This window comes from Homo sapiens, chromosome X, assembly GCF_000001405.40.
Source record: "Homo sapiens chromosome X, GRCh38.p14 Primary Assembly".
Classification (NCBI taxonomy): domain Eukaryota; kingdom Metazoa; phylum Chordata; class Mammalia; order Primates; family Hominidae; genus Homo; species Homo sapiens.
This window is the reverse complement of record NC_000023.11, coordinates 74,181,441-74,209,338: the sequence shown is the minus strand read 5'-3', so window position 1 is coordinate 74,209,338 and position 27,898 is coordinate 74,181,441. Positions and strand designations below refer to the sequence as shown.

At 37.7% G+C, this 27,898-nt stretch overlaps 1 long non-coding RNA gene and 2 pseudogenes across 1 annotated transcript in view; 1 reads left to right on the top strand and 2 right to left on the bottom strand.

Moving 5' to 3' along the window:
- Nucleotides 1-27,898, top strand: part of FTX (FTX transcript, XIST regulator) — a 265,439-nt gene that overhangs the window by 84,236 nt on the left and 153,305 nt on the right. The window lies entirely within an intron of this gene.
- RAB11FIP1P1 (RAB11 family interacting protein 1 pseudogene 1) lies at nucleotides 4,483-6,295 on the bottom strand (annotated as a pseudogene).
- On the bottom strand, nucleotides 22,031-23,412 carry BMP2KL (BMP2 inducible kinase like (pseudogene); annotated as a pseudogene).

Genomic DNA, 27,898 nt, shown 5'->3' with positions numbered 1-27,898 from the left:
TAAGAAAATTTCCTACGATTACTAGATTGTTCAGAATTGTTTTAAGATCATGAGTTGATATTTCAATTTTGTTAAATACTTTTTCTGTATCCATTAAGATAATCATGTGTTTTTCTTAGTCAGTCATTGTAGCCCATTGTATTGCTTGATTTTCTTTATTAAGGTATATTCATTCCCATAGAAAATTCATGGCTTTTTTTGTTGTTGTTTGTTTGTTTTTTGGGGGAGGGGTGGTGGGGGGAAGTAGTACCACTTTATTCAGTGTTGTAGGAAATTTCAGGTTACTTCTTAAAAACAAAACCTAGGCAGCCTGGCCAACATGGTGAAACCCCATCTTCACAAAAAATTATGACAATTTGCCAGGTGTGGTGGTGCATGCCTGTAATCCCAGCTACTTGGGAGGCTGAGGCAGGAGGATCCCTTGAACTCGGTGGCAGAGGTACCAGTGAGCCGAGATCGTACCACTGCACTCTCGTCTGAGCGATAGAGTGAGACTCTGCCTCAAAAACAACAATAACAAAAAGAAAAACCTGTGAGGTTGTAGGTTCTTTCCCCTTTTTCCTTTCCTTTTTTTTTCCCCCTTTTTCCTTTTTCCTTTCCTTTTTCTCTCACTCTGTCACCCAACCTGGATGGGAGTGGAGTATAGTGGTGTGATCATGGCCCACTGCAGCCTTAACTTCCTTGGCTCAAGTGATCCTCCTGCCTCAGCCTCCTGAGTAGTTGGGACAACAGGCATGCACTACCATGCCTGGCTAATTTTTTACTTTTTGTAGAGACAGGGTTTTGCCATGTTGCCCAAGCTGGTCTCAAACTCCTGGGCTCAAGAGATCCACCCACCTAGGCCTCCCAAAGTGCTGCGTCTACAGGCGCAAGCCACTGCACTGAGCCCAGGTTACTTCTTAAAACGTGGCCAGGTGCGGCAGCTCACACCCATAATCCCAGCACTTTGGGAGGCTGAGGCAGAAGGATTGCTTGAGTTTGGGAGTTCAAGACCAGCCTGGCTAACATAGCAAGACTCCAGCTATTGGGATGGCTGAGGTGAGTAGATTGTTTGAGCCTGGGAGGTTGAGGCTGTAGTGAGCCATGATTGCACCACTGCACTCCAGCCTGGGTGCAGAGGGAGACCCTGTCTCCAAAAAGAAAAAATGAAAAAAAAACACATACAAATAAAAACAAACAAAAGAAATAAAAAATTCCCAGAGTAACAAAGCAGGAAATAATAATTCTATAATCCAAAAAACACTGGGTGATCCTTCAGTTGGAGAGAGGAGGAGTCAGTTAAGTAGCTCACACAGTAGATATGGACAAACCAGAGTTGAGGTTGGTTGATGTGGCTTCTAGGAGTTAAGTTCTCCACCTAAGGCAATTAAGGGATAATTAATTGTTCTTGAGGGATAATTAGTCATCTTGAAAAAAGGAAAAAGTTTGATTGGGAGAAGGCACCTAGGGAGGGAGGATGGTGCATCACTTAATATTAAATTGCCTCCCTACACTATGTGGCTGAGTGTCATGGACCTTCCTCCCTCTCTGCGCCTTTGAACTCCCACTGTTAGCAAAGCTGGAAAGCACACACTTGTATCTCATTCTTACAGGCATGTGTACTACCCCTCAGGGTCCATAGCTGTTCAGTATGGCAAAGGGCAGACTTGCTTTCTCTTCCACTTTGCTGCCTTGATGAGGTTAACATACTGGAATGAAAGAGGAGGGCAGGACATCTGCCAAAGTGCAAGGAATAAGAGTTATTGAAACAATTGGGAAAAGGATTGACACTTCAGGAAGCTGACCTCGAAGTTGACCTCGAACTGTTCACTGGTATTTAATCTGATGCTTCCCTCAAGTCCTGAATACTCTTTCTGGAAGCAGAGAGGTGAGGCCAAGAGTTGTTCTGGCTCCTCCAGGCCACCCCTCCCCCCCCCCAGGGCCCATCAGGTAAGTGCCTGCAGAAGCTAGAGGCAAGTCCCAGCTCTCTTGTATAGCTGATGTATGCCCTGAGACATACTCCATTTGTAGGATTCTCCTGTGCTCCAATTCACCAAATTCTGCTGATGGCTCAGAGCAGGGTAAAGCTTCTCCTAGATAATCCCTCCCCCAAAATTGAGTCCTCGGGGACAGTTATTTATTGAATAACCTCCAGGTTATCTACTTTGGGAAATGCAGAAATGCTATAAACTGAATTTTTTTCCAGCAGTGGCAGAAGCCAGACACCTTGAAGTCAATTGTCCTTCATTCTCCAGAGTTCCCAAGTGGCATTTCAGAGCACAGGAATTCACTCTTCCACCCAGATATTCCTCTCACACTGAGTCACGCACCCCAGTTTCTAGCAGCAGATATCTTGAAGCCAACCACCCTAATGAAAAATGCGGGTTTCCACACCAGTTTTCCACACCAGCTCTCCAACCATTAAGAGTACACATGCCCCCATGGCACACTTGGGTTATCACAATAAAAATACGTTTATATAAAGTAAAAAACATAATGTGGAGCAAATATATACATATACATGTACATTGTTAGAGTTCAAGTGAATATACAGTTTTTAAGTGTGTAAATAAATTTCATAGCACTACAAAAATACAAGTCATCTGAGAGACGTTTACAGTGGTCCCCAAAACTATAGGAGAGAATAAAATAAAATAGCTATAGGTAATTAAAAGCTAATTAGATAAATCAAGTCACAGTTTCATCCTTCAGATTAAGGTGCTCCAATATAATCCATACCACAGCAAACAAAATCCTGAAGAATTCTGCTGCCAATCATCTTGCCTCTTAACCTCAATATAACAAGAACATACATAAAAGAGATTACCGATTTAGTAAATGCTATCATCTCATACCCCATTCACACCACTGGCCTGTGATATTCTTCCCCTGGGAGAGATGTCAAGATTTAATGAGATTCTATCATAACCTGTAGAAAAAATGAGCAACATGGAAACATTCCAATTCCAGTCTTAGGTGAGTTCCAATGAAATTACCTGAAGAACTGAACTAGTGCTTTTAGTTAAGGGGAAAAGTGCCCTAGCTTTTAAAAAATATGTCTATAAATCTAGTTTTAAAAACATAGCAATTGGCTGCATGTGGTGGCTCATGCCTATAATCTCAGCATTTTGAGAGGCCGAGGTGAGAGGACTGCTTAAACCCAGGAGTTCAAGACCAGCCTGAACAAAATAGGGAGACCCCCATCTCTACAAAAATAATTTTAAAAAGCTGGGCATGGTGGCATATACCTGTGGTTCCAGGTACCTGGAGGGCTGACGTAGGAGGATTGCCTGAGCCCAGCAGGCCAAAGCTACAGTGAGCTGTGATTGTGCCACTGCACTCCAGCCTGGGCGAGGAGAGCAAGACTCTGTCTCAAAAATAAATACATAAAATACAGCGTCCAAAAGTGTGTCATCTTCTTTCTCTTCACAATTTTATAATAAGGGGGTAAAATGCCTGTGAGTCTATTCATTATGGAAAATAAAAAAGAAACAACCATTTAAGGCTGAGGCATTTTGGTTTTCTGCTGGCTTTTAGATTATTAACTGCATTAAGCCCCTCACTACAACTTCACCAGTATCCTAGAAACAATTTGGGTTTCCTTTTAGGCAGGGACAGGAAGTATTCAAAGGACAGACATATGGACAGAGTTAGGCCCTTCAGGGTTGAAGTCTGTGGTTTCTTGTGTCTCAAGACTCAATGTCTTGAGAAGTTGGTGGACCCTGTCCTCCATCCAAGAAGTGCTGCCAAGGAAACCAGGGGACCTAGCAAAGAGTCAGGAGAAAATGGCCAAAGGAATTCTGACATTCCATACCTGAATGAACTGTTTTCGTGAGTGCTTTGATCACCCTATCCCCTATCAAGGCGCTGAACAGGTGGCCCGCAGGAAATCTGCTGTCGCAAGAGGAGGGCTTTGACTTACTTCCCCTAATTGTTGAGTAAAAAGTGATTCTCTTAATTTCTGTATTCTGTTTTTCATATCACCAGTAGAAGGGTCCTGTGGATCTAAATAGAGCACATTTTAAGGCTACAGAGTAGTAGAAATTGATGTTTAGACAAGGCAGCTTGTTCAAAATCTGAAAGGCACACCCAGAAGCTTTCTCTAAACATTTTGGCTCCCATTAAAAAAAAAAAAAAAACAAAAAACAAAAACAAAAACAAAAAACAAGACCCAAGTCTGAGAAGTTGAGTACATTTACATGGTATCAAAAATTTAGCATCTGCAGCCAAAAGCCACACCTGTGCTACTCAAAAGCTGAGAAAGTACATGTATGTAACACAGCAACTATTGCATGGTCCTTTTCTTATTTAAAGCTTTCTCAGGTAAGTTTTAATAGCTGGAGGATACATATTGAAAAAAATCTCAATATGAAAGAAAGAAAACTTCAGTGTTGAAATACATTAATACCTCCTGTGACATCTGAATCTCTGGCTCAGGATCAGAACTTAGGATCACGTCTCTGGTGGCCATAAAATATTTACAATCTAGTTAAAGGCACAGTGGCATTTAAAAATAAAGTCTTGGGGACCCATGGTAAAAGATTCACTGTAATTATTAACCTGGCTTCAATTGGTAGAATTGACTCTTGCCAGATAACATGCGAGGGAGATGGTGATTCGGAACCTGCTAGCTGGTTATGAGGCATAGCGAGTCCTTTACCTCAAGAACAGGTGGAAACAAACTCACGGAAACATGCCCGTGTTTAATTCTGGTGATTTACATCTTTCCCGCATTTTTTGCTAACCTGAGCCAGAATGTGGAGCGTGGGGGTTTCTTCCATGACTGATTGGCAGGTTGTCAGTATAGTCTTCCAGCTCAGGATCCTGGAAATCCCTCTTATTATTATTATTATTGTTTTCTTCTGTTTGAGGAGCAGCTGGATAAGCTCATTCTGGGTTAGCTGTGCATAGGCAAAAGCAGAATCTGAGGGGTTTTCTTGATCGTGGTCTTGTTGATCAAGTTCTCACTGATGATGGTGGCAGTTCCCAAGCTAGAGATAGCAATCTTGGTGGCCATTGTGTTCATTGGCTTCACAGGATGAAGTCAAGGTTTGACAGCTCTGGTTTTTGGAGCCATCACAGAGAGAATTGGTGATTCTGTTCAGACTTGGATTCTGGGTCAGTTTTTGGTTCTGTGATCTGCACATCTTCAAAGGGGTTCAGGGAGTTACCCCTTCTGGAGACAATAGCTGCAATATCTTTCTCCAATCTTCTCGTAAGGTCTTTAACAGGCCCTGAAGCATGCTACCCGGCTTGACCTCCATAAGCATGCCTTCCTTCTTCTCCAGGATGGTAAGAGGGTTTTCACCTTCACTGTTCTTAGCCATGTCCTTCTTCCCCGTCACCCGAGAAAGCAAAGAAGACTCTCGTTATTCTGCTTCTTGCTCTCTTTGGTTTCTTTTGCAGCTTCCAAGTTTGCTGGAGCCATGTTTTCTCTAATGTCCCCACAGAACAGTGGTTGGTAGGATGGCGGAGACATGGACTTCAGAGAGTTCTTGGTAGAAGACTCAAAGAGCCACCTGTCATGAGACATCCCACTTCCTTCCCCAGGTTACTTCCAAGACTGAGCAGCCAGGTTTTTGGTAGATGAGAACAAATGTTTCTTCCTGAAGCCCTGGGGCTTCAGGTAGGAAGAAGGACTGCTATACTTGTTCTCACCCTTGGCTTCTGGCTGCTCCAGTTAAACATGGTTCCCATTGATACAGACATTAGAGTGGGAAAGGACTTCGTTCATAGACCGAAGACCCTCAAAGGAAAGTCCTTCCATTTTGGGAAGGGTGACATTGATTTCGTTTAGCTGCTTAAGATATGTACTTGCTGTTGTCTTGTGAGACATGACATCTGAAGCTGAAGAGGAGTCCCTCTCATTGTTGTCATTGTCCCACCGGGACTGAAAGTCTCCCAGTTGAGGCAGCATTTTAGCTTTGATGTCTACAGGGCAATCATGGATCAGGAAATTTCTGCAAATTAGACTTGGAAAACAAGGTCTTGATCCTTCTTGTCTTTGGACGAAGACTAATCATCACTTTTGACTGAAGGTGTAGTGCTGGAGACTATGTTGGAGGCAGCACCTGATGCACTATCCATATTCTTCCCCTTGATCTTGTCTTAAAGTTTTCCAAATGGATTCCGAGGCTTGTCTTTGATGAAAAGGTCAAACATACTGGCAGTCATGTTGTTTCTCATAAGCTGGATGTCAACCTCAATTTCTCCTCTTTATCCTTCTCTCCTGGTTTGGATTTCAAGGTATACCACCGCATCTTCCTGCTCCCCTAGTCTGGGTGCAGGTCCTGCAGGTACACCTCGGCGAAGCCCAAGTACAGTAGCAGCAGCACCTCAAAGGTGGCCTCCTCCTCTGACACTGAGGTGGCATACTTCTCCTTACCCACCTGAATCACCGAGTACATGTTGCTTGTACCGTCAGGCTCTTGGTTCTTGGCCCCTGGCCCTATGCCTGCAACACTGTCACCTGCACGTGGATTGGGAACCACATAGCCCCCGGACCTGCTAAGGCCATTAAGGACAGGATGGTGATGCCTCGGCTGACTGACGTGAGAAGATTGTCATGACCCATGGCCTCTACTGCTGTCCTACCAACAGAAACTTCATAATGTTGTGCAGGCGTTACCACTACCTAGTTCCAGAACATTGCCATCACCCCCAAAATAAATCTTGCATTCATTAAGCAGTCACCCCTATTTTCCCCCATCCCTGTCAACCACTGATTTATGTTCTGTCTCTATGGATTCCCCTGTTCCGGATAATTCACGTAAATGGAATAACACAATAGATGCCTTTTATCATGGGTTTCTTTCACTTAGGATGTTTTGTAGGGTAATCCATATAGCATGTATCAGGACTTCATTTTTTTTTTTTTTTTTTTTGAGATGGAGTTTCATTCTTCTTGCCCAGGCTGGAGTGCAGTGGTGCAGTCTCAGCTCACTTCAACCTCTGCCTTCTAGGTTCAAGCGATTCTCCTGTCTTGGCTTCCCAAGTAGCCAGGATTACAGGCGCCTGGCACCATGCCCAGCTACTTTTTTTGTATTTTTAGTAGAGACAGGGTTTCACCATGTTGGCCAGGCTGGTCTCAAACTCCTGACCTCAGGTGATCCGCCTGCCTCAGCCTCCCAACGTGCTGGGATTACAGGCGTGAGCCACCATGGTCAGCCTTCATTCATTTTCATGGAGAAAAATATTTCATTGTATGAGTATACCACATTTTGTTTATCCATTTATCCATTGATTGGTTGTTTCTACTTTTTTTTAGCTATTATGAATAATATTGCTGTGAACATTTGTGTACAAGGTTTTAGTGGACACAAGTTTTTATTTTTCTTGGGTATATATCTAGGAGTGGAATTGCTGGGTCATATTGTAATTCTGTTCAACTTTTTGAAGAACTTCCCAACTGTTCTCCATGGTGGCTGTGCCATTGTATATTCCTACCAGCAGTGTATGAAGTTACAAATTTCTCCACATCCTGAGAACCCCTTTATTATTTTCTGTTTTTCTTTTTGATTATAGCCATCCTAGTAGGTGTAAAGTGGTATCTCATTGTGATTTTATTTTGCATTTCCCTAAATGATTAATGATATTGAGCATCTTTTCATGTGCTTCTTGGCCACTAGTATATCTTCTTTGAAGAAATGTCTATTCAAGTCTTTGGCAGTTTCTAAATGAGTTATTGTCTTTTTGTTGTTAGGTTGTAAGAGTTATAATCTGGATAACAGATCCTTATTAGATATGTAATTTGCACATATTTTCTCCCATTTTGTGGGTTGTCTTTTGTCTTTTTTATTTTTTATTGCTTGTGTTTTGGTATCATTATTGATAATTCATTGTTAAATTAAAGGTCATGAAGAGTTACTCTTACTTTTTCTTCTATAATTTTTAGTTTTAGCTCTTGTATTCATGTCTGTAATCAATTGAAGTTAATTTTTAATATAGTATGTGTTAGGAGTCCAGCTTCATTGTTTTGCATGTATCTATGCAATTGACCCAAAGTGATTTGTTGAAAAATATTATTTTCTGATGGTATGGTCCTGACACCCTTGTAGAAATTCAATTGAAGATATATGTATGAGTTTACTTCTGCAGTCTCAATTCTATTCTATTGGTCTAAATGTTTATCTTTATGCCAGTACCAGCCTGTTTTGGTTATTTTAGTTTTGTAATAAAATAGACAAACATTTGGCCGATTAATCAAGACAAAAAGAAAAGTATATAGAAATAATATTATGAAAGAAAAGGGGGAGCATATTGAAAAACACCATAAAGATTAAAAAGATTAAGGGACAGTGTTAACAATTTATGCCAATAGGGTTTGAAAGTTTAGAGAAAATAGACAAATTCCTAGCAAAATATAAATTATCAAAACCTACTCAAGAAAAAATAGAAATCTTATATAGTCACAAGGTATTAAATATTCAATTCTTCCTAGAGACCCAAATATATGCTTTCTACCCGTAACTCACTGTAAATAAAAAGAAAGGGATAATATATTGTGCAAACTCTAGTCAAAAAAAAGTTGGAATGACAATATTAATATAAACAAAAGTGGACTTCAAAAGAAGCAATATTATCAGAGAGAAAGAGGGCACTGCTTGGTGAATTGCCCCCTGATAAAGACATAACAATACCGGAAGTAAAAATTGACATAACTGCAAGGGGAAATTGACAAATCCACAATTATATTTGGGATTTAAATGCTTTACTCTTAATAATTAATAAAAGTTAGCTAAAAAATTAATTTTAGCTAAATAAATTAGCTAAAAAGTTAACAAGGATAGATCTGAACAACACTAGGATAAACTTGTCCTAATGGACATTTATAGACCACTATAACCAAAAGTGGTAGAATTCACAATTTTTGCAAGTACACATGGAATATTCACCAAAATAAACCATATCCTGATTTATAAAATAAACTAACAAACTGGCTTCTCTCACTTAGCAATATGAATTTAAATTTCCCCCATATCTCTTCATGGCTTTATACCTCATTTCCTTTTATTGCTGAATAATGTTTCATTTTATGGATGGGCCATAAAATGTTTATCTATGCACCTATAGAGGGACATCTTGGTTGCTTCCAAGTTTTGGCCAATATTAATAAAGCTGTTATAAACATTCATTTGCAGGTTTTTGTGTTATCATGAATTTCCACTCATTTGGTTAAATACCTAGGAATATAATTGCTAGATAGTATAGCAATTCTGTTTAGTTTTGTAGGAAACTGCAAACTGTCTTCCAAAGTGGCTGTATCATTTTGCATTTCCACTAACAGTGACTGGGAGTTCCTTATGCTAAACATCCTCTACAGTATTTGGTGTGGTCAGTGTTATAGATTTTGGCTATTCTTTCAGGTGCATAGTGGCATCTTATTGTTGTTTTAATTTGCAATTCCCTGATGATGTATGAGGGGACTTCAAAAATTTATGGAAAAATTGAACTAAAAGGTAAAAGTAAAAAATATAAACTTCTTAACATAAGCTCCATCGAGTTCAAGATACTTTGTAAGCAATGATACCAGCCATTTGGTTCATCCCTAAGGAACTGAGGGTTCTGAGAATTTAATCAGGTCAATGAAGTCTTTTTTACGTTATGAACTGAAGAAAAATGTGTGCAATTTAAAGGTTTGTTAAGACTTTGAAACAAAAAGAAGTCAGAAGGAGCCAAATCAGGACTGTAAGGTGGATGAATGCCTAATGATTTCCCATCAAAGCTCTCACAAAATTGCCCTTGTTTGATGAGAGGAATAAGCAGAAGCATTGTGATGGGGAAGGACTCTCTAATGAAGCTTTCCCAGGTGTTTTTCTGCTAAAGCTTTGGCTTTCTCAAAACACTTTCATAATAAGCAGATGTTGTTGTTCTTTGGCCCTCCAGAAAACCAACTAGAAAAATTCCTTTAACATTCCAAAAGACTATTGCCATGAGCTTTGTTCTTGACCAGTCCAGTTTTGCTTTGACTAGACCGCTTCCACTTCTTGGTAGCCATTGCTTTGATTGTGCTTTATCTTTAGGATCATACTGGTAAAGCCATGTTTTGTCTCCTGTTAAAATTCTTCAAGAAATTGCTACAGGATCTTGATCCTACTTGTTAAAATTTCCATTGAAAGCTCAGCTCTTGTCTGCAGCTGATCTGGGCACAACAGTTTTGGTACCCATTGAGTGGAAAGTTTGCTCAACTTTAATTTTTCAGTCAGAATAGTGTAAGCTAAGCCAATTTAGATATCTATGGTGTTGACTATTGTTTGTGCTGTTAATTCTTGTTCTTCTTCAATTAAGGCATGGACATAATTTTTTTCAATTTTTTTTTCAAACGATGTGGAAGGCTTGCTGCTATGTGCTTCATCTTCAGCATCATCTCATCCCTTCTTAAAATGAGTTATCTGTTTGCAAACTGCTGATTTCTTTTGGAGAATCATCCCCATAAACTTCTCATAAAGCATCAATGATTTTACCATTCTTCCACCCAAGCTTCACACTAAATTTGATGTTTGGTTTTGCTTCAATTTTAGTAGAATTTATGTTGCTCTGACAGGTGCTCTTTTCAAACTTACGTCTTACCTTTTTAGTGCCTCAAACTACATCCTGTTCAGGCATGTTATAACAAGTTAGTATGAGCTTATTTTGGTATAAAAAATTTGGACTCCATAATTTTTTCATAATATGCATTTTTCATTACCTTTTGGAAGACAACTCATATCACCTTGAGCTTCTTTTCATATGCCTATTTTCCATATGTATATCTTCTTTGGTGAGGTGTCCTTTTCAGATGTTTGTACATTTAAAAATCAGTTATTACCCACTCCCACCACTTCTATTCAACATAGTACTGGAAGTACTATCAAGAGAGAGCAATTAGACAAGAAAAAGAAATTAAAGATATCTAAATTGGAAAGGAAGAAGTAAAATGATCTCTCTTTGCACATCATATGATCCTATGTGTAGAAAACTCCAAAGACTCCACCAAAAAAACCTATTAGATCTAATAAATGAATTCAGTAAAGTTGCAGGATATAAAATTAATATACAAAAATCCATGGCCATTTTATTCACAAATAACAACCTAGCTGAGAAATCAAGAAAACAATCCCATTTATGATAACATAAAACACTTAAGAATACATTTGACCAAGAAGATGAAAGTGCATCAGTATAGCCTGCACACTGAAAACCACAAAACATTGATGAAATACATTGAAGAGGACACAAATAAATAAAACGATATTCCATGCTCATAGATTGGAAGAATTAATGTTGTTAAAGTGTCCATACTACCCAAAGCAATATATAGATTCAATGCAATCCCTATCAAAATCTCATCAGCATTCTTCACAGAAATAGAAAAAAATCATACAATTTCTGTGGATCCACAAAAGATCCCAAATAACCAAAGCAATTCTGAGAAAAAAAAATCCTGGAGGCATCATACTTCCCAATTTAAATTTATATTACAAAACGAGAGTAATCAAAACAATACAGTATTGGCATAAGAGATACACAGGACAGTGAAATAGCCAGAAATAAATCCAAACATGTATGGTTAATGAATTTTTGACAAGAGCACCAAAAAGACAAAATGAGAAAAGGGTAGTCTCTTCAATAAATAGGTGCTGGAATTTCCACATGCAAAAGAATGAAATTAGACTCTTACATTACACCATACACAAAAATCAATCCAAAATGGATAAAAGATCTGAATGTAAGACCTGAAGCCATAAATCTAGAAGAAAACATAAGGGAAAAGCTCCTTGACACTGGCTTTGGCAATGTTTCCTTGGATATCACACCAAAACCTCAGGCTACAAAAGCAACAATAAATAAATGAAATTATATCAATCTAAAAAACTTCTACACAGAACGAAAACAATCAACAAAATGAAAAGGCAATGTACAGATAAGGAGAAAATATTTGCAAACCATATATCAGGCAAGGTTTTAATATTCAGGATTTAGGAAGAACTCATACAACTCAATAGCAAGACAACATATAACCTGATTAAAAAAAAGTGGGGAAAGGACTTGAATAGACATTTCTTCAAAGATGACAGAAAATGACCAACAGGTATATGAAATGGTGCTCAATATCACCAGTCATCAGGAAAATGCAAATCAAAACTACTTTGAGATACCACCTCATACATGTTAGGATAGCTATTATCAAAAAGACAAGAGCTAACAAGTGTTGGTGAGGGTGTGGAGAAGAGGGAGCACTTGTACACTGTTAGTGGGAATGTATTATATATTGGTGCAGCCATTATGGAAGACAGTATGGAGGTTCCTAAGTAAATTAAAAATAGAACTACCATATGACCCAGCAATCCCTCTTCTGGGTATATCCCCAAAGGGAATGAGATTATCTCTGCACTCCCAAGTTTATTGCAGCACAATTCACAATAGTCAAGATACAGACACAACCTAGGTGTTCATCAATGGGCAAATGGATAAAGAAACTGTGATATAGAGAGATCAATAGATAGATAATTAGAATATTATTTAGCCTTTAAAAAGAAGGCAGTCCTGTCATTTGCCAAAACATGGATAGACCTAGAAGACATTATGCTAAATGAAATAAGCCAGACACAGAAAGAAAAATATTGCGTGATCTCACTTATATGTGGAATCAAGAAAAAAAAGGTTAAATATATAGAGATAGAGAATAAAACAGTAATTACTAAGGTCAGGATAAGGTGGAGGAAATGAGATGTAGGTCAAAGGATGCAAAGTAGTAAATATGCAGGATGAACAAGTGAAAAGATCAAAGATCAAATGTACAACATGAGGACTATAGTTAATACATATTGTATATTGTGTTCAGGACTTTTTGCTAAATGAGTAGATTATACCTGCTCTTGCCAATGGGGGAATAATCAGTAACTATGTGAGATGATGGGTATGTTCATTGTTCCACTATAGTTTTACTATATATATATATATGTTTCATTTAACATTGTGTTGTATACCTTAATATAGACAATAAAATTTATTTAAAACATAAAAAAAATCAGGTTTATTTTCTTATTGTTGAGTTTAAAGAGTTCTTTGTATATTTTGGATAAAAGTTCTCTATCAGAATGTCCTTTGCTAATATTTTATCTCAGTCTGTGGCTTATCTTCTCATTCTTTTTACATTGTCACAGGGTAGAAATTTTTAATTTTAATGAAGTTCAGTTAATCTATTCTTTCTTCCATTGGTTGTACTTTTGGTATTGCTTCTAAAAAGTCATTGCTAAACCCTAGGTCAACCAGATTTTCTCCTATGCTATTTTACAGGAGTTTTATAGTTTTTCATTTTACACTTAGGTCTGTGGTCCATTTTAAGAACATTTTTATGAAGGGTGTAAGGTCTGTGTCTAGCTCCCATTCAAGGCTTATTATATCTCACCTGGAGTGTCAGCCTGCCTGCATTTCTTGTCCCCTCCAATTCCAACTTGAATTGACTAAATTCCTGGTGAGTGTAGCCAAGAGTCATGCCTCCAGGCTTCAGGCCAGCACTTGTGGATGGAACCTCCAGGCCAGTACACCCAGGACCCAGCTCCAGGATAACCTTGGCAGTCTCAGGCACCAGGCCAGCACCCACAGCCCTAGGACCCAGCCATGACCTTAAGTACCCAGCTTCTAGGCCTGCCCCACTGCCAGGCCAGGCCCCATAGCCCCAGACTCCAGGCAGATACCCATGGACCTAGTTTCCAGGCCCTCCTCTGCACCAGACCAACACCACTATACCCTAGCTCCAGGCTAGCCTTTACTAACCTAGGAACCAGTCCACCACAGTGCCAGGCTAGCCACCACATCTCCAGACTCCAAGCCAGCATCTGCAGACCCAGGCTCCAGGCCTGCTCTAGCACCAGGCTGGCCCCTGAAGCCCCAGGCTTCAGGCTCACTGTAGTGCTAGGGTGGCACCAACAGGCACCAGCACCAAGCCTGCTCCTGCAGCCTCAGGGTCCAGGCTGGCCCCTGGAGACTCAAGCTTCAGGCCCAACCCAGACTCCAGATTGGCCCAGTACCAGACTGAGATTGGCCCAGTACCACATGGGCCCAGGCTTCAGGCGCCCCCCGCCCCATACCATTGCCTGGTCTGCCTCTTCAGCCCCAGACTCCAGGCCAACACTTGTGGACCTAGCCTCCAGTCTCACTCCAGCACCAGGTTGGCATGCATAGACCCAAGCTTGAGGCCACCCCTGACAGTCCAGCAGAATCAGGATCCAGGCCTGCCCCAGGAATCTCAGTAACCATAACGGTATGAATCTAGAAATCAATAACAAGAAAAATTGGAGAATTCACAAATATGTAGAAATTAAACAACATGCTCCTGAACAAAGAGTCAAGAAGAAATGAAAAGGAATTGAAAAATATCTTGGGACAACAGAAAGCGGAAACAACATGCCAAATGTATGGGATGCAGCAAAAGCAGTTCTAAGAGGGGACTTTATAGCAATAAATGCCTACATCAAAAAAGAAAAAAGACTTAAAAATCCAAACTAACATTATACCTCAAGGAACTCTAAAAGACCAGCCTAAACTGAAAGCTGGCAGAAAGGGAATAAAGGTCAGAACAGGAATAAAAATGAATAGAGACTAGAAAAACAACAGAAAGGATAAACAGAACTAAGAGTTAGTATTTTGAAAAGATAAGCAAAATTGACAAACTTTTAGCTTGACTAAGAAAAAGAGAGAAGACTGAAATGAATAAAATCATAAATGAAAGAGAAGACCTTACAACTGATACTACAGAAATATAAAGTCATAAGAAACTATGAGCAATTATATTCCCCCAAAAATTGATAACCTAGAAAAATGGATACATTCCTAAAAACATACAGCCTACCGAGACTGAATCATGAAGAAACAGAAAATCTGTATAGACCAATAACAAGTATATTAAATGATTAATCCAAAACTCCCAACATAGAAAAGCCCAGGACCTGATGACCTCACTGCTGAATTATACCAAACATTTAAGGAAGAACTAATACCAATCCTTCTCAAAATATTCCACAAAATTGAGGAGGAGGGAATACATTCAAACTCATTTTGAGGCCAGCGTTACTTGGATACCAAAGCCAGACAAAACACTACAAGGAAAGAAAACAGCAGACCAGTATTCCCGATGAACATAGATGCAAAATCCTCAACAAAATGCTAGCAAACTCAATTCAACAACGCATTAATGGGTCATTCACCGTGACCAAATGGTATTTATCCCAGGGAGGAAAGAATGGTTCAACATATGCAGATTAATAAATATGGTACATCACATTAATAGGATAAAAGACAAAAGCCAATTGATCGTCTTAATAGGTGCAGAAGCACTTGACAAAACATACTTTTATAATAAAAAGCCTCAACAAATTATGTATAGAAGGAATGTATGTCAACAAAATAAAAGCCATTTATATATAACAGCCCACAGCTGACGACATACTCAATGGGAAAAAGCTAAAATCTTTTTCTCTGTGATCAGGAACTAGACAAAGATGCCCACTCACTTCTATTCAATAGAATACTGGAATTCCTAGCAAGAGCAGTTAGTGAAGATGAAATAAAAGGCTTTTATTTCAGAAAGGAACAAGTGAAGTTATTTCTGTTTGCTGATAACATGATCTTATTAGAAAACTATAAAGGCTCCACAAAAGAACAATTGGACCTAATAAACATCTTCTGAAAATTTACAGTATACAAAATTAAGATACAAAATCTGAAGTGTTTCTATACACTAACAATAAATTTCTGAAAAAGAAATCAACAAACCAATCTCATTTACAATAGCTATAAAACTAAAACTCTGAGGAATAAATTTAACCATGAAGGTGAGAGATCTGTACAGTAAAAAGTATAAAACACTGATGAAAGAAACTAAAGAAAATGCGAATAACTAGAAATGTATCTTGTGTCTATAAGCTGTAAGATTAATATTGTTAAAATGCCCATATTAATCAAAGCAATCTACAGATTTTATGCCATCCATATCAAAACTTCAATGACATTTTTCACAGAAATAGAACAACCCGACAATTTGTATGGAACTATAGAAGATGCTGAATAGCCAAAGTAATCTTGAGCAAAAAGAATAAAACTGGAGGCGTCACATTTCCTGATTTTAAAATCTACTATAAAATTATAGTAGTCAAAACAACTTTATACTAGCATAAAAACAGACAAATAGACTAATGGAACAGAACAGAAAGCCCAGAAATAAATCCACACATTTACAGTCAATTGATGTTTGACAAAGGTGCCAAGAACACACAATGGGGAAAGGACAGTCTCTTTGATAAATGGTGTTGGGACAACTGGATATACATACACAGAAGAATAAAGAAGAATAAAATTAGATCCTTATTTCACACTATATACAAAATATCAATTCAAAATGGATAAAAGACTTAAATGTAAAACCTGAAACTGTAAAACTACGAGAAAACATAGGGCAAAAGTTCCATGTCACTGGTGTGGGCAATGATTTCTTGGCTATAACCCCAAAAGCACAGGTAACGAAACCAAAAATGGACAAATGCTATTACAACAAATTAAAAAGCTTATGCACAGCAAAGGAAACAATCAAAGTGAAGAGACAACCCATAAAATGGGAGAAAATATTTGTAATCCACACATCTGATAAAAAGTTAATATACAAAATATATAAGGAACTCAAATAACTCAATAGCAAGAAAACAAGTAACCCAATTAAACAATGGACAAAAAGACCTAAGTTGTTATTTTCAAAAGAAGACATACCAATGGCCATTAGATATATGAAAAAAATTGCTCAACGTTACTAATCATCAGGGAAATGAAAATTAAAAACCACCATATCACATCACACCCGTAGAGTGAGCTAGTATCAAAAAGGGGAAAGACGGTCAGTGTTGGGCAGAATGAAAAGAAAAGGGAACCATTGTACACTGCTGGTGGGAAAGTAAATCAATACTACTATTATCAAAAACAATACAGAGGTTCTTCAAAAAAATTACCATATGATCCAGCAATTCGACTTCTAGGTAAATATCCAAAGAAAATGTAATCAGTATTTCAAGAGATATCTGCACTCCCATATTATTTACATTATTCACCACAGCTGAAATATGGATGCAACCTAAATGTCCATTGACAAATGAATGGATAAAGAAACTGTGGTATATACACACATGGAATACTCTTTAGCCTTCTAAAAGGATATCCTGTCATTTGGGGAAACATGGGTGAACCCAGAGGATAATGTGTTATGTGAAATAAGCCGAGCACCGAAAGACAAAAACTCCGTGATCTCACTTATATGTGGAATCTAAAAATGATAGATTCACAGAAGCAGAGTGTAGACAGGAGCCCTGTTGGGGAAGTGGGAGATAGAGGAGATATTGGTTAAAGGATAGAAAATTTTAGTTAGACAAGAGGAATAAGTTCAAGAATATTGTCTAACATGGTGACTATACTTACAACAATGCATTAATGATATATTTTGTACTTGAAATTTGCTTAGAGTAGATTTTAAGTGTTTTCACCACAAAAATAAATATCCAAGGTAATGCATATGTGAATTAGCTTGATTTAGCCACTTCACAATGTATACATACTTTAAGAAATCATGTTGTACACCATAAATATATATAATTTTTATTTGTAATTCAATAATAATAAACACAAATTAAGCAGAAGAATGGAATCATGAAGATTAGGTCAGAAGTTAATATTATGTAAAAGAGAAAAACAACAGAGAAAATGAGGTAATCAAAAACTTGGTTCTTTTAAAAGATTAACAAAATTGATGAAACGAGCTACACAAATCAAGAAAAAAGGAGAATACTCAATTTACTAAAATAAAAATGAAAGAGTTGCCATTACTACCAATATTACAAAAACAAGAGAAATGTAAGGAAATACTGTCTACAATTATATGACAACAAAATAGATAACATGTGAAATGGATAAGTTCATAGAAGAACACAAACTACTGAAACTAACTCAAGAAAAAAATGTAAAATCTGAATGGACCTATAGAGAGTAAGGAGATGTAAATAAGCAATCGTTCAATTTCATACAAAGAAAAGGCCAGAAACAGTAGACTTCACTGGTTAATTCTATCCAACACTTAATAACATATACCAAATTTCTAAAACTAGAAGAGGAGGGCACACTTCCCTACACATCCTGTGAGTACATTACTATCAAGATACCAAAACCAGACAATATTACGAGGAAAGAAAACTACATACTGATATTGCTTATGAGTATAGACACAAAAATCCTCAGCAAAGTATTAACAAACCGAATTCAACAACATATAAAAAGAATTGTACGGCATGACCTAGTAAGATTTATCCTAGGAATGCAAGGTTGTTTTACATTTGAAAATCAGCTAATGTAATACACCATGTCAAAAGAATGAAAACAAAAACCAAATGATCATCTCAATAGAAGTAAAAACTGTTTGACAAAATCTAGCACTCTTTCATGATAAAAACACTCAACAAACTAGGAACAGAAGGAAACTTCCTCAAAGCTGACAAAGGGCATCTATGGAAAAGCCACAGCTAACATAATAGTTAATGATAAAAGCTTTCTCCCTAAGATCCAGAACAAGACACGGATGTTTGCCTTCACCACTTTTATTCCACATTGTACTGAAGATTCCAATCAGGGCAATCAGGCAAGAAAAAGAAATAAAAATCAACCCGATTTGGAAGGAAGTAAGACAATCTGTATTTGTAGATGACATAAATGTATGCATGAATATCCTAAGGAATCTACTACAAACTATTGGAAATAATTAACAATTTCAACACAGTGGCAGGAGAACAGATCAATATACAAAATCAATTGTATTTCTCTATAGCAGCAATGAACAAAACAAAAATGAAATGAAAAGAATGATTTAATTTGCAATATCATGAAAAAGAACAAAATCCTTAGGAATAAATGTAACAAAACAAGTGCAAAACATATACTCTGAAAACAACAAACAAACATTGTTAAAACATTAAAGAAGTCTTAAATAAATAGAATGACATTCCATAAAGACTTTATATTGTTAAAATGGCAATACCCCTTAAACTCATTTGCAGATTCAATCCTTATCAAACCCAGCAGACGTTTTGTTTGTTTGTTTGTTTTGTTTTGTTTGTATCTTTTTTTTTAAATTATACTTTAAGTTCTGGGATACATGTGCAGAACGTGCAGGTTTGTTACATAGGTATACATGTGCCATGGTGGTTTGCTGCACCCATCAACCCGTCATCTACATTAGGTATTTCTCCTAGTGCTATCCCTTCCCTTGCCCCCCACCTTCTGACAGGCCCCAGTGTGTAATGTTCCCTCCCTGTGTCCATGTGTTCTCATTGAGAGTTATAACTACATCCTAAAGAAGCACAGGGGACACCCAAATATTATTAGGGAAAAAAACCCATATATATATATATGGTCTTTGCTATATATATACATAGATATTTATATTTGCTTAGTGGTATATATATATAACCTTTCTTACATTCTTAAACCAGAATTTGAACATCCCATAATAGAGCCAAACTTATTATTGAGTGCTGTATGCCAGGTACTGTGTTAAGCACTTTCACATACCTTGAGAGCTTTATTCTCATAATTCTCATAATGCAATGACCTGAGCATCAGCTGTGTGGAGTGACCTACACTTTGACCATGATTCTGGGGGATGATGAATGAAAATGCAAAGTATAAATATATACTTTTTAGGAAAATGCCTCTATTTCAACACAAAGGAATCTCTCCACTTCTATCCCTTTGAACCCCCAATGGAATCCTGTGTCTTTTCTCTGAGCTACAATCTTGAAAGAAGAAAGTTACTGTGCTGTGTTATAACATAAGAATGTAAATATTTTAAGCTGTCAGAGTTGTTTCCTCAGAATTTATCCAACATTATAAGCCAAAGGGTCTACATCAGTGTCTGAACCATTTAAAATTATTCAGTGTATTGAGAAGCGAGTAAAACGCTAGGTATTTCATGTTTACATCTGAAGGAGACCACACTAGTTCATCCCCTACCCCTTTTCTAAATGATGAAACTCATGAGATCTAGCAAAGACCAAGGACTAAAATAAGAAGCATATTGTGCACACCTCAAAAGATTTTCATTTAAAAAGTTATTCTGTTTGATACAAACCTACTGTAGTTCATGAATTTACTATGTGTAATCATCAAGTCTTCACTTTTAAAAGAAAGTATTCCTTGAATCTATTTTGTAAAGTTTTTAAACATCTACTTGAGCATTTGCATTAGCAGTATTAATCAACCTGAGAAATGAAAAAAAAAAGTTGCAAATATATTTGCCTTTGGCATGAGGACAAGTAATTGGTGCAGTCCAGCTCTAAAAGTACAACTCTAAGTAATAATGTAATGCTTGGTCTGCCTCTGCTACATTGTGATTCACATATTGCTTCCCTATCCACAAATTTATATTTGATTTAGCATATAAAAGAGGGAAAAAAGCAATAAAAAGACAAATATGTGGCTTATTTACATATACTTTGCTTCTTTCCAAGTTCAGAACTGTGAAAATAGGCAAATATCTTATCCCATTGAGGCACTATAATTAAGAGATGCCTAACAAAATTACTCATAAAATATACTTTAATTGGGTTCAAAGAGAGTTAATTTAAAATATAAAAATCAAAGAGAGTGCCAGTTGATGAGTTTCCACTCCTTTCTGTAAATAGCATTAACTGTTCTAGAAACTTCGAAATGTTAATCTGATAGTGCAGGACAGTTAATTATAACTTAAAATATTTATAGACACAGGAAGCACAGATACTATATTCACATTAATTCACATATGTAATCTCTATCATTAAATAATTTCTATAAAATCTCAAGTTTCTAATTAGCATTTGTGGTGTTAAAAAAAGGCAATTGGTAGCTGGGTTCTTTTCAGTGAAGATATGATCAACTAGCAGAGTTAAGATGCTAGTCCACCTTATATGCATTTTAGGATCTAATTTATTAGTGCAGAGGTACTTGCAGCAGGATGCATGAATCCTGCCTATAAGGCTTTGTGGATGTCACTGTTCTGTGCACTTTATTAAAACGACTCCACCCCCCAAAACTAATAAAAATAATTGTTGCTTATGACTTGGGGAATATTTGGTGAAGTTGCTAATAAAGTACATTATTAAATGCAACATGATTTCACACTGTAAATGTCCTGAAAATTCAGTTTCTCCTACATATTTTCTTCCTAAAATAAAATTTTTATATAACCCTTGTCCTCACTCCCAATTTTTTCCAATAATCTGCTTCATTAGGGCCGTGTTAATAAAAGTTTGGGGCAAGAAGCCATTCATAAACAATATAAAGTGTTTCTAAAGTAGTGAATTTTTTCTTCTATATTATTTTTTCTGCTTATCATTTCTTTTTGAATGTCAGATATTTCTCTTTATATTTTTGTTCTAGGCTTCTATGCGATAGTCCATTTTTAAAATTTATGTTTTAATTGACAAAAATTATATATATTTATCATGTATAACATTGTTTTGAAATATGTAAATTGTGGAATAGCTAAATTGAGCTAATTAATATACACATTAATATATACATTTCATGTACTTATCATTAGATATTCCATATTAATGGCACTTGTTTTTAAAATGAAATAGTTTTAGGCACAATAGCCAGTTACTTCTGGTTCTGCTTTGTGGAGAAAGGTGTATGGAGTGAAATCTCTGCACTCTCCAGATAATAACTTTCTAATGCTTTAAGAGAACTAGATTGTTTTTAACTGCATGGAAATTAGAAGAGATCTTAAAAAAATTCACAAACGTAACTAGTGTATGTACAAATAACCCTAATTTTAGGGATATGCACACAAAAATGACATTCTGATATTAAAAATAACAGTTTTACTGTCCCTCCTGAGTGGTTACACACCTGGAAGGATGCCATGTGCTTTCACTGGAAGTACCACACTTGCATTTCTGTGTTGTGAGGTCAGTAGCAGAAACCCTTAGTTAGAGCTGGCAATTTAGCTCCCTTTTCTCCTGCTTGGAAGAGGCATCAAGTTACTACCCTGTAGAGATACTTCATTTTTCTATTTGGTTTTTTAAAAATCACCTGTTCTGATTGATCTTTAAGAACGAACGACATAAACAGCCATTAAATTTTTTTTCAAATTCATAAAACTATTCATACTTTTTTGAAACAGGAGTTAATGCCAGTAATCCATCAGAAGTATCTACTGTTTAGAAGGAAATGGGGCAGCACCAAATGGGTCTAATTCGACTGGTTGGGACTGTTGGGACTGCTGTAGAGTGATGCTTTGCACCACAAGTTCTGTAAAGGGCATGGCACCAAAATCATCCATTGTCAATACATCTGCACTATGGAATGACCCATGTAGTGAATTTTGCCTTGGCTGCTTAGGCAGGACAGTATTGTGATCAGCACGGATGTCATTCAGGCCCTGATGTAGAGGGTGCCATGACAGGTCTGGAGGATGGAAGGGCTTGGCACCAAAGGGGTCCAACAGACTCTCCTCGAGTTGTAAGACGTTCCCCCTATCGTTCCCATCAGTCACTGCGGCACCAATGTTCTCCTTGGAGTCTGAGATGGTTACAAATTCATTGCTGGTTTGAGAGACTCGGCGACCCACTTTTTTGTGCCTGCGAGCCCTCTCTGGAGTGCGGTAGGTAGGCTTCAAAGTCTTCTTTTTGCTAGTTGGCGTGCCATGATGCCGCTTCCCATTACTTTTGGACATATCCTGCTTTGTGCGCCTTTGGCGAGAGGACAGTTTCTGTAAGCTGCGCTGTTTGACTTTTTGCTGCTGGCTCCCCATTATTTCCTCAAAGGGCACAAGCCCAAAAAGGTCCTCGTTGCTTTCACTTTTACTTGTTGATGTGAGGAAGGGCTGAAATGGAGTGAAGTCAAATATATCTATGCTTTTGGGATGTGTCTCAGGCCCCACCGCATGGCATTCTTGTACATTCACCTTCTTGCTAAAAGGCGCCTTTGTGAATACATCAAATTCCTCCTGCTGGAGTCCCGTAGCAGGAAACCTGTGTTGAGGGAGGCTCTTTTCATTCTTTTCTTGCTGGGGCTGTTGAGCACACACTGCAAAGAAGGGGACGGCGCCAAATATATCGAACTCCTGTTTAGGAGTCTCCACTCCAACATCAGAGGACAATTGGGCTGAGGTGAGGAGTATTGTATTAATATCTTGGGTTGGTCCACTGCCAGATTTGTCTCTGTAGACAGGGCTCATATCACTGTACTTTGCTTTAGCCTGCTCATAATCAGAATCAGAGCTACGTTTCTCCTCTTCTTCCTCATCTTCAGAATCCATGAGGAGAGGCCTGTGACCCAGATTTTCTGGTTCGGTATCATTATCATTAAAATCTCCTTGTTCTCCCTGAAGAACTTCTTCATCCTTTTGCCCTTCCTCTTCACTGCTCTTAGGAGAAGGGGCAATCATACTAGATAGGAAAGCCAGGAAGCCAGATGGGTATCTGAGTATCAATATTAACACAGACACTGTGACTAAAAGTCCTTGACTTGTTTGAGTATTCTTCTTTCTTCAGTGCACAATTACTCAAGTAAATGGATGTAGGACCCTTTGGAGAAGGACTGAAAAAATCATTACCATGTATATTTGCCATGATGTTACAAATCTCTCCTCCTGGGGACCCAGTCCCGTTTCAGTTTATGGTGGCTCTGAACGTTGATTCAGGTCGAGAAACTGGACCAGGAAACTATGTCTTTTTATTGAGGCCACTGGCCCTCAGCCTCCTGATCATCCATTCAGGTTTTCTTTTTTCTTTTTCTTTTTTTTCTGAGATGGAGTCTTGCTCTGTTGCCCAGGCGGGAGTGTAGTGGTGCGATCCGGGCTCACTGCAACCTCTCTTTCTCGGGTGCAAGCGATTCGCCTGCCTCAGCCACCCTAGTAGCTGGGATTACAGGCGTCCGCCACCACACCCAGCTAATTTTTGTATTTTTAGTAGAGATGGGGTTTCACTATCTTGGCCAGGCTGGTCTTGAACTCCTGACCTCAGGTGATCCGCCCTCCTTGGCCTCCCACCATCCAGGTTTTATTTTTAAACTCTTTATTACTAAAATAATGTTACAGTCCAGAGAAATTTTAAAAAGGAGATAAAAATTTTCATTTCCCCTCACCCTTTTTTCCCTAATGTTAATAACTTACATAACCATAGTATAATTATAAAAAATTGGAAATTAACATGGTACAATATGTTAAATTAAACTACACACTTTATTTACATTTCACCAGTTATACAACTAATGTATTTTTCTGTCCCAAGGTGTAACTCAGGATCTCACATTGCCTTTAGTTGTCACTTCTCTTTGTTCTCTTTTAATCTGTGACAGGCCTTCAATCTTTCCTTGTCTTTCATGACCTTGAAAGTTTTGGAGAGTGTGTGTCAGTTATTGTATTATTTTCTATTGCTGCATAAAACTACCAAAAATTTAGAGGCTGCAAACAACACAAATTTATTACCTCACAGCTTTCATGGCTCAAAAGTCCAGGTATGCATTAGCTGAGTTCTCTGCTCCAGGTACCAGTGGGCTGAAATCAAAATGTCACCTGAGGCTGTGATCTTACCTGAGGCTTGGGATCCCCTTCCAGATTCGCTGGTTGTTGGCAGAATATAGTTCTAACAGTTTGAGGACTGCAGTCTTCGTTTTTTTTTTTTTTTTTTTTGCTATTGTCAAGGGTTTGCTCTGTTTTTAGATGCTTCCATCAGGTCCTAGTCATGTGTACCTCTCACAATATAGCAGCTTACTTCTTGGAAGCCAGCAGAGAAATCTCTAGTCTGCTATGGAAGATTCTTATGTAATGTAACATTATTATAATAGTTAGTATTTCATCACCTTTGCCATAAAATGTAACCTAATCAAGACATTGATTATCTCATCATATTTAAAGGTTACAACCACACTAAAAAAGAGGGGTTAACACTAGAGAAAGGGAAACTTGGGAGCCATCTTTGAATTCCACTTACTACTTTTATTGTTGAGTGTTCCTCAGTTTGGATTGATTGAATCTTATGATTAGATTAAGGTTATGCATTTTTGATGATAATACTACAGAGGACATGTTGTATCTTCTCAATGCATCATATCAGAAAATATATGATGTTGATTTGTCTTATTGCTGGTGATGTTAATTTGTTTTTTTAAGTTTTATTTTATTTTTAATTGACGAATAGTAATTATATATATTTGTGGGGTACAAGGTGATGTTTCAATACTTGTATACATTGTGAAATGATCAAATCAGGTAATTAGTGTATCTATAATCTTAAATATTTATCATTTCTTTGTGTGAGAACATTTAAAATCCTCTTTTAGATATTTTGAAATATACATTACAATATTAATTATAGTCACCTTGCCGTTCAATATAACACCAGAATTTTTCTCCTAATTGTGCCTTTGTACCAATTGACCAATGTCTCCTCTTTCCCCATTCACCTCTTTCTTCCCCAGCCTCTGGCAAACACCACTCTATTCTCTACTTCTATGAGTTTGACTTTTTAGATTCCTTATATAAGTGAGATCATACAGTATTTGTCTCTCTGTGCCTTGCTTATTTCACATAATGTCCTCTAGATTCATCCATGTTGTTGCAAATGACAGAATTTCCTGTTTTTAAAGAGCTGAATGGTATTCCATTGTGCATATATATCACTGTTAAAAATTAATTCTTCTGTTGGTAGACACTTAGGTTGTTTCCATATCTTGGGTATTGTGAAGAATGCTGCATTGAACATGGTAGTGCAGATATCTCTTCAGCATACTGATTTCATTACTTTTGTTGTTTTTAAGTTTTTAAATTTTTATTTTAAGTTCTGGGATACACATTCAGGATATGCAGGTTTGTTACATAGGTAAATGTGTCCCGTGGTGATTTACTGCACCTATCAACCCATCACCTAGGTATTAAGCCCAGCATGCATTAGCTATTTTTCCCTCCCTCGACCCCCACAAACAGGTCCCAGTGTGCGTTTTTCCCTACCCTGTGTCTATGTATTCTCATTGTTCAGCTCCCACTTATAAGTGAGAATATGCAGTGTTTGGTTTTCTGTTCCTGCATTAGTTTGCTGAGAATAATGGCTTCCAGCTCCATCCATGTCCCTGCAAATGACATGATGTTGTTCCTTTTTATGGCTGCATAGTATTCCATGGTGTATATGTACTACATTTTCTTTATCCAGTCTATCGTTGATGGGCGTTTGGGTTGATTCTATGTATTTGCTATTGTAAATAGTGCTGCAATGATCATATACATGTATGTATCTTTATAATATAATTATTTATATTCCTTTGGGTATATACCCAGTAATGGGATTGCTGAGTCAAATGGTATTTCTGGTTCTGGTCTTTGAGGAATCACCACACTGTCTACCACAATGGCTGAACTAATTTACATTTCCACCAACAGTGTAAAAGTGTTCCTGTTTCTCTGCAGCCTCACCAGCATCTGTTTTTTCTTGACTTTTTAATAATCGCCATTCTGACTGATGTGAGATGGTATCTTATTGTGGTTTTTTTTTTTAAAGACTCTTAATTATTGAACCAGAAATTTAAAACACATTTGTAAACTACTTAGAAAACAAGACTGCCACACATCAAAATGGATGGGATTTGAACATATTTGAACTTAAGAGATAGTTCAGAATCCTTCAATGCATTCCTTTGTATACAAACAAAAAATAAGCATCAGTCTCAAAGAGTTAGGGGAAAAAATCTAGAGAAAACAAAATAATAAGTCTAAAATGAGAAATTAGCATATTATAAAACAAAATCACAGTTGATAAACAAATCAAAACTCTAGTTTTCTGAACGGAAAACAGATATCCCTGAGAAGTCTAGTCAAGTAATGTTGAGCACCCGATTCTGTCGCTGCTCGGGGTGCCACTATATAACCCGCATGGACTTAGGGGGACTGAACAAAGCGGGGCAAATGTGGGAATAAAAGACATGAGACAAAAGAGTATATTTGGAAGGAGGGATCGGGGGGCGCCTTGCCTCTAGTGGACAAGGGCCCTGAGCTTTACACAGCCCTCTGTATTTATTAGGCAAAAGAGATAGTGAGAAAGGGGGTGGAAGAAAGGGTCAGCTGCTCAGTCCGGAGTAGGCTTGCAAGACTGCATTCCTCGATCAACAGGCTCTAGATGTCACAGTAGATAACTTTGGCGCCAGGGAGTGATTGCCTCCAGCAAACCTTCTGTCACCAGGAGCAGTCCTGAGTTTGCTCACATCCTGCATTCATGATAAACAGTTTGCTGTTTGATCATATAGCCTCCAGTGGAATGCTGAGTTGGTCATGTCCCACAGGCCTTCGGCTCCCTACATATTCCCCCTTTCTGTTTATGAATTAATTGGAAGAATGTAAGGCCAGGCTGGGCAGCTCTCATTCTCTGATTGGTGGTCCATCTGATTTTACAGACTATAAAAAGAATAGACAAAACAACATTATTCCAAGAACTACATATAAGATGTTAATGTGATGCTTTAGATAGGTCCAAGGGTTGGGGCTCTCCAGGCCCTGCTGGAATTCGGTCCAGTCTTCTAAAGAAGGCTGAAACTCTTGAGTTTGCCTATTTAAATCAAGAATTTTGTTTTGTAATTCACCAATATCAAAGGTGATGTTTGATGTGAAAGCTCCCTGCAAATGGGCTTTCACAAGGTCCCACGGATACTCACTTTGGTTGTATTCTAAGTTGATTACACAAATATGAGTGTGATTAAAATGACAACGCAATTACTGCTGCAATTGCAAGGTTTGTACTTGTTCCCCTAACCATAGAACCGTGGATTTCAACATTGGCACTTCAGTTTGTAACTCAGTGTTAATTTTATTCTGAAGTAGCCATGCTTGGTTAGCTGTACATGTCCAGTTCTCCATGTACTGAGCTGTTTGAACAGAACT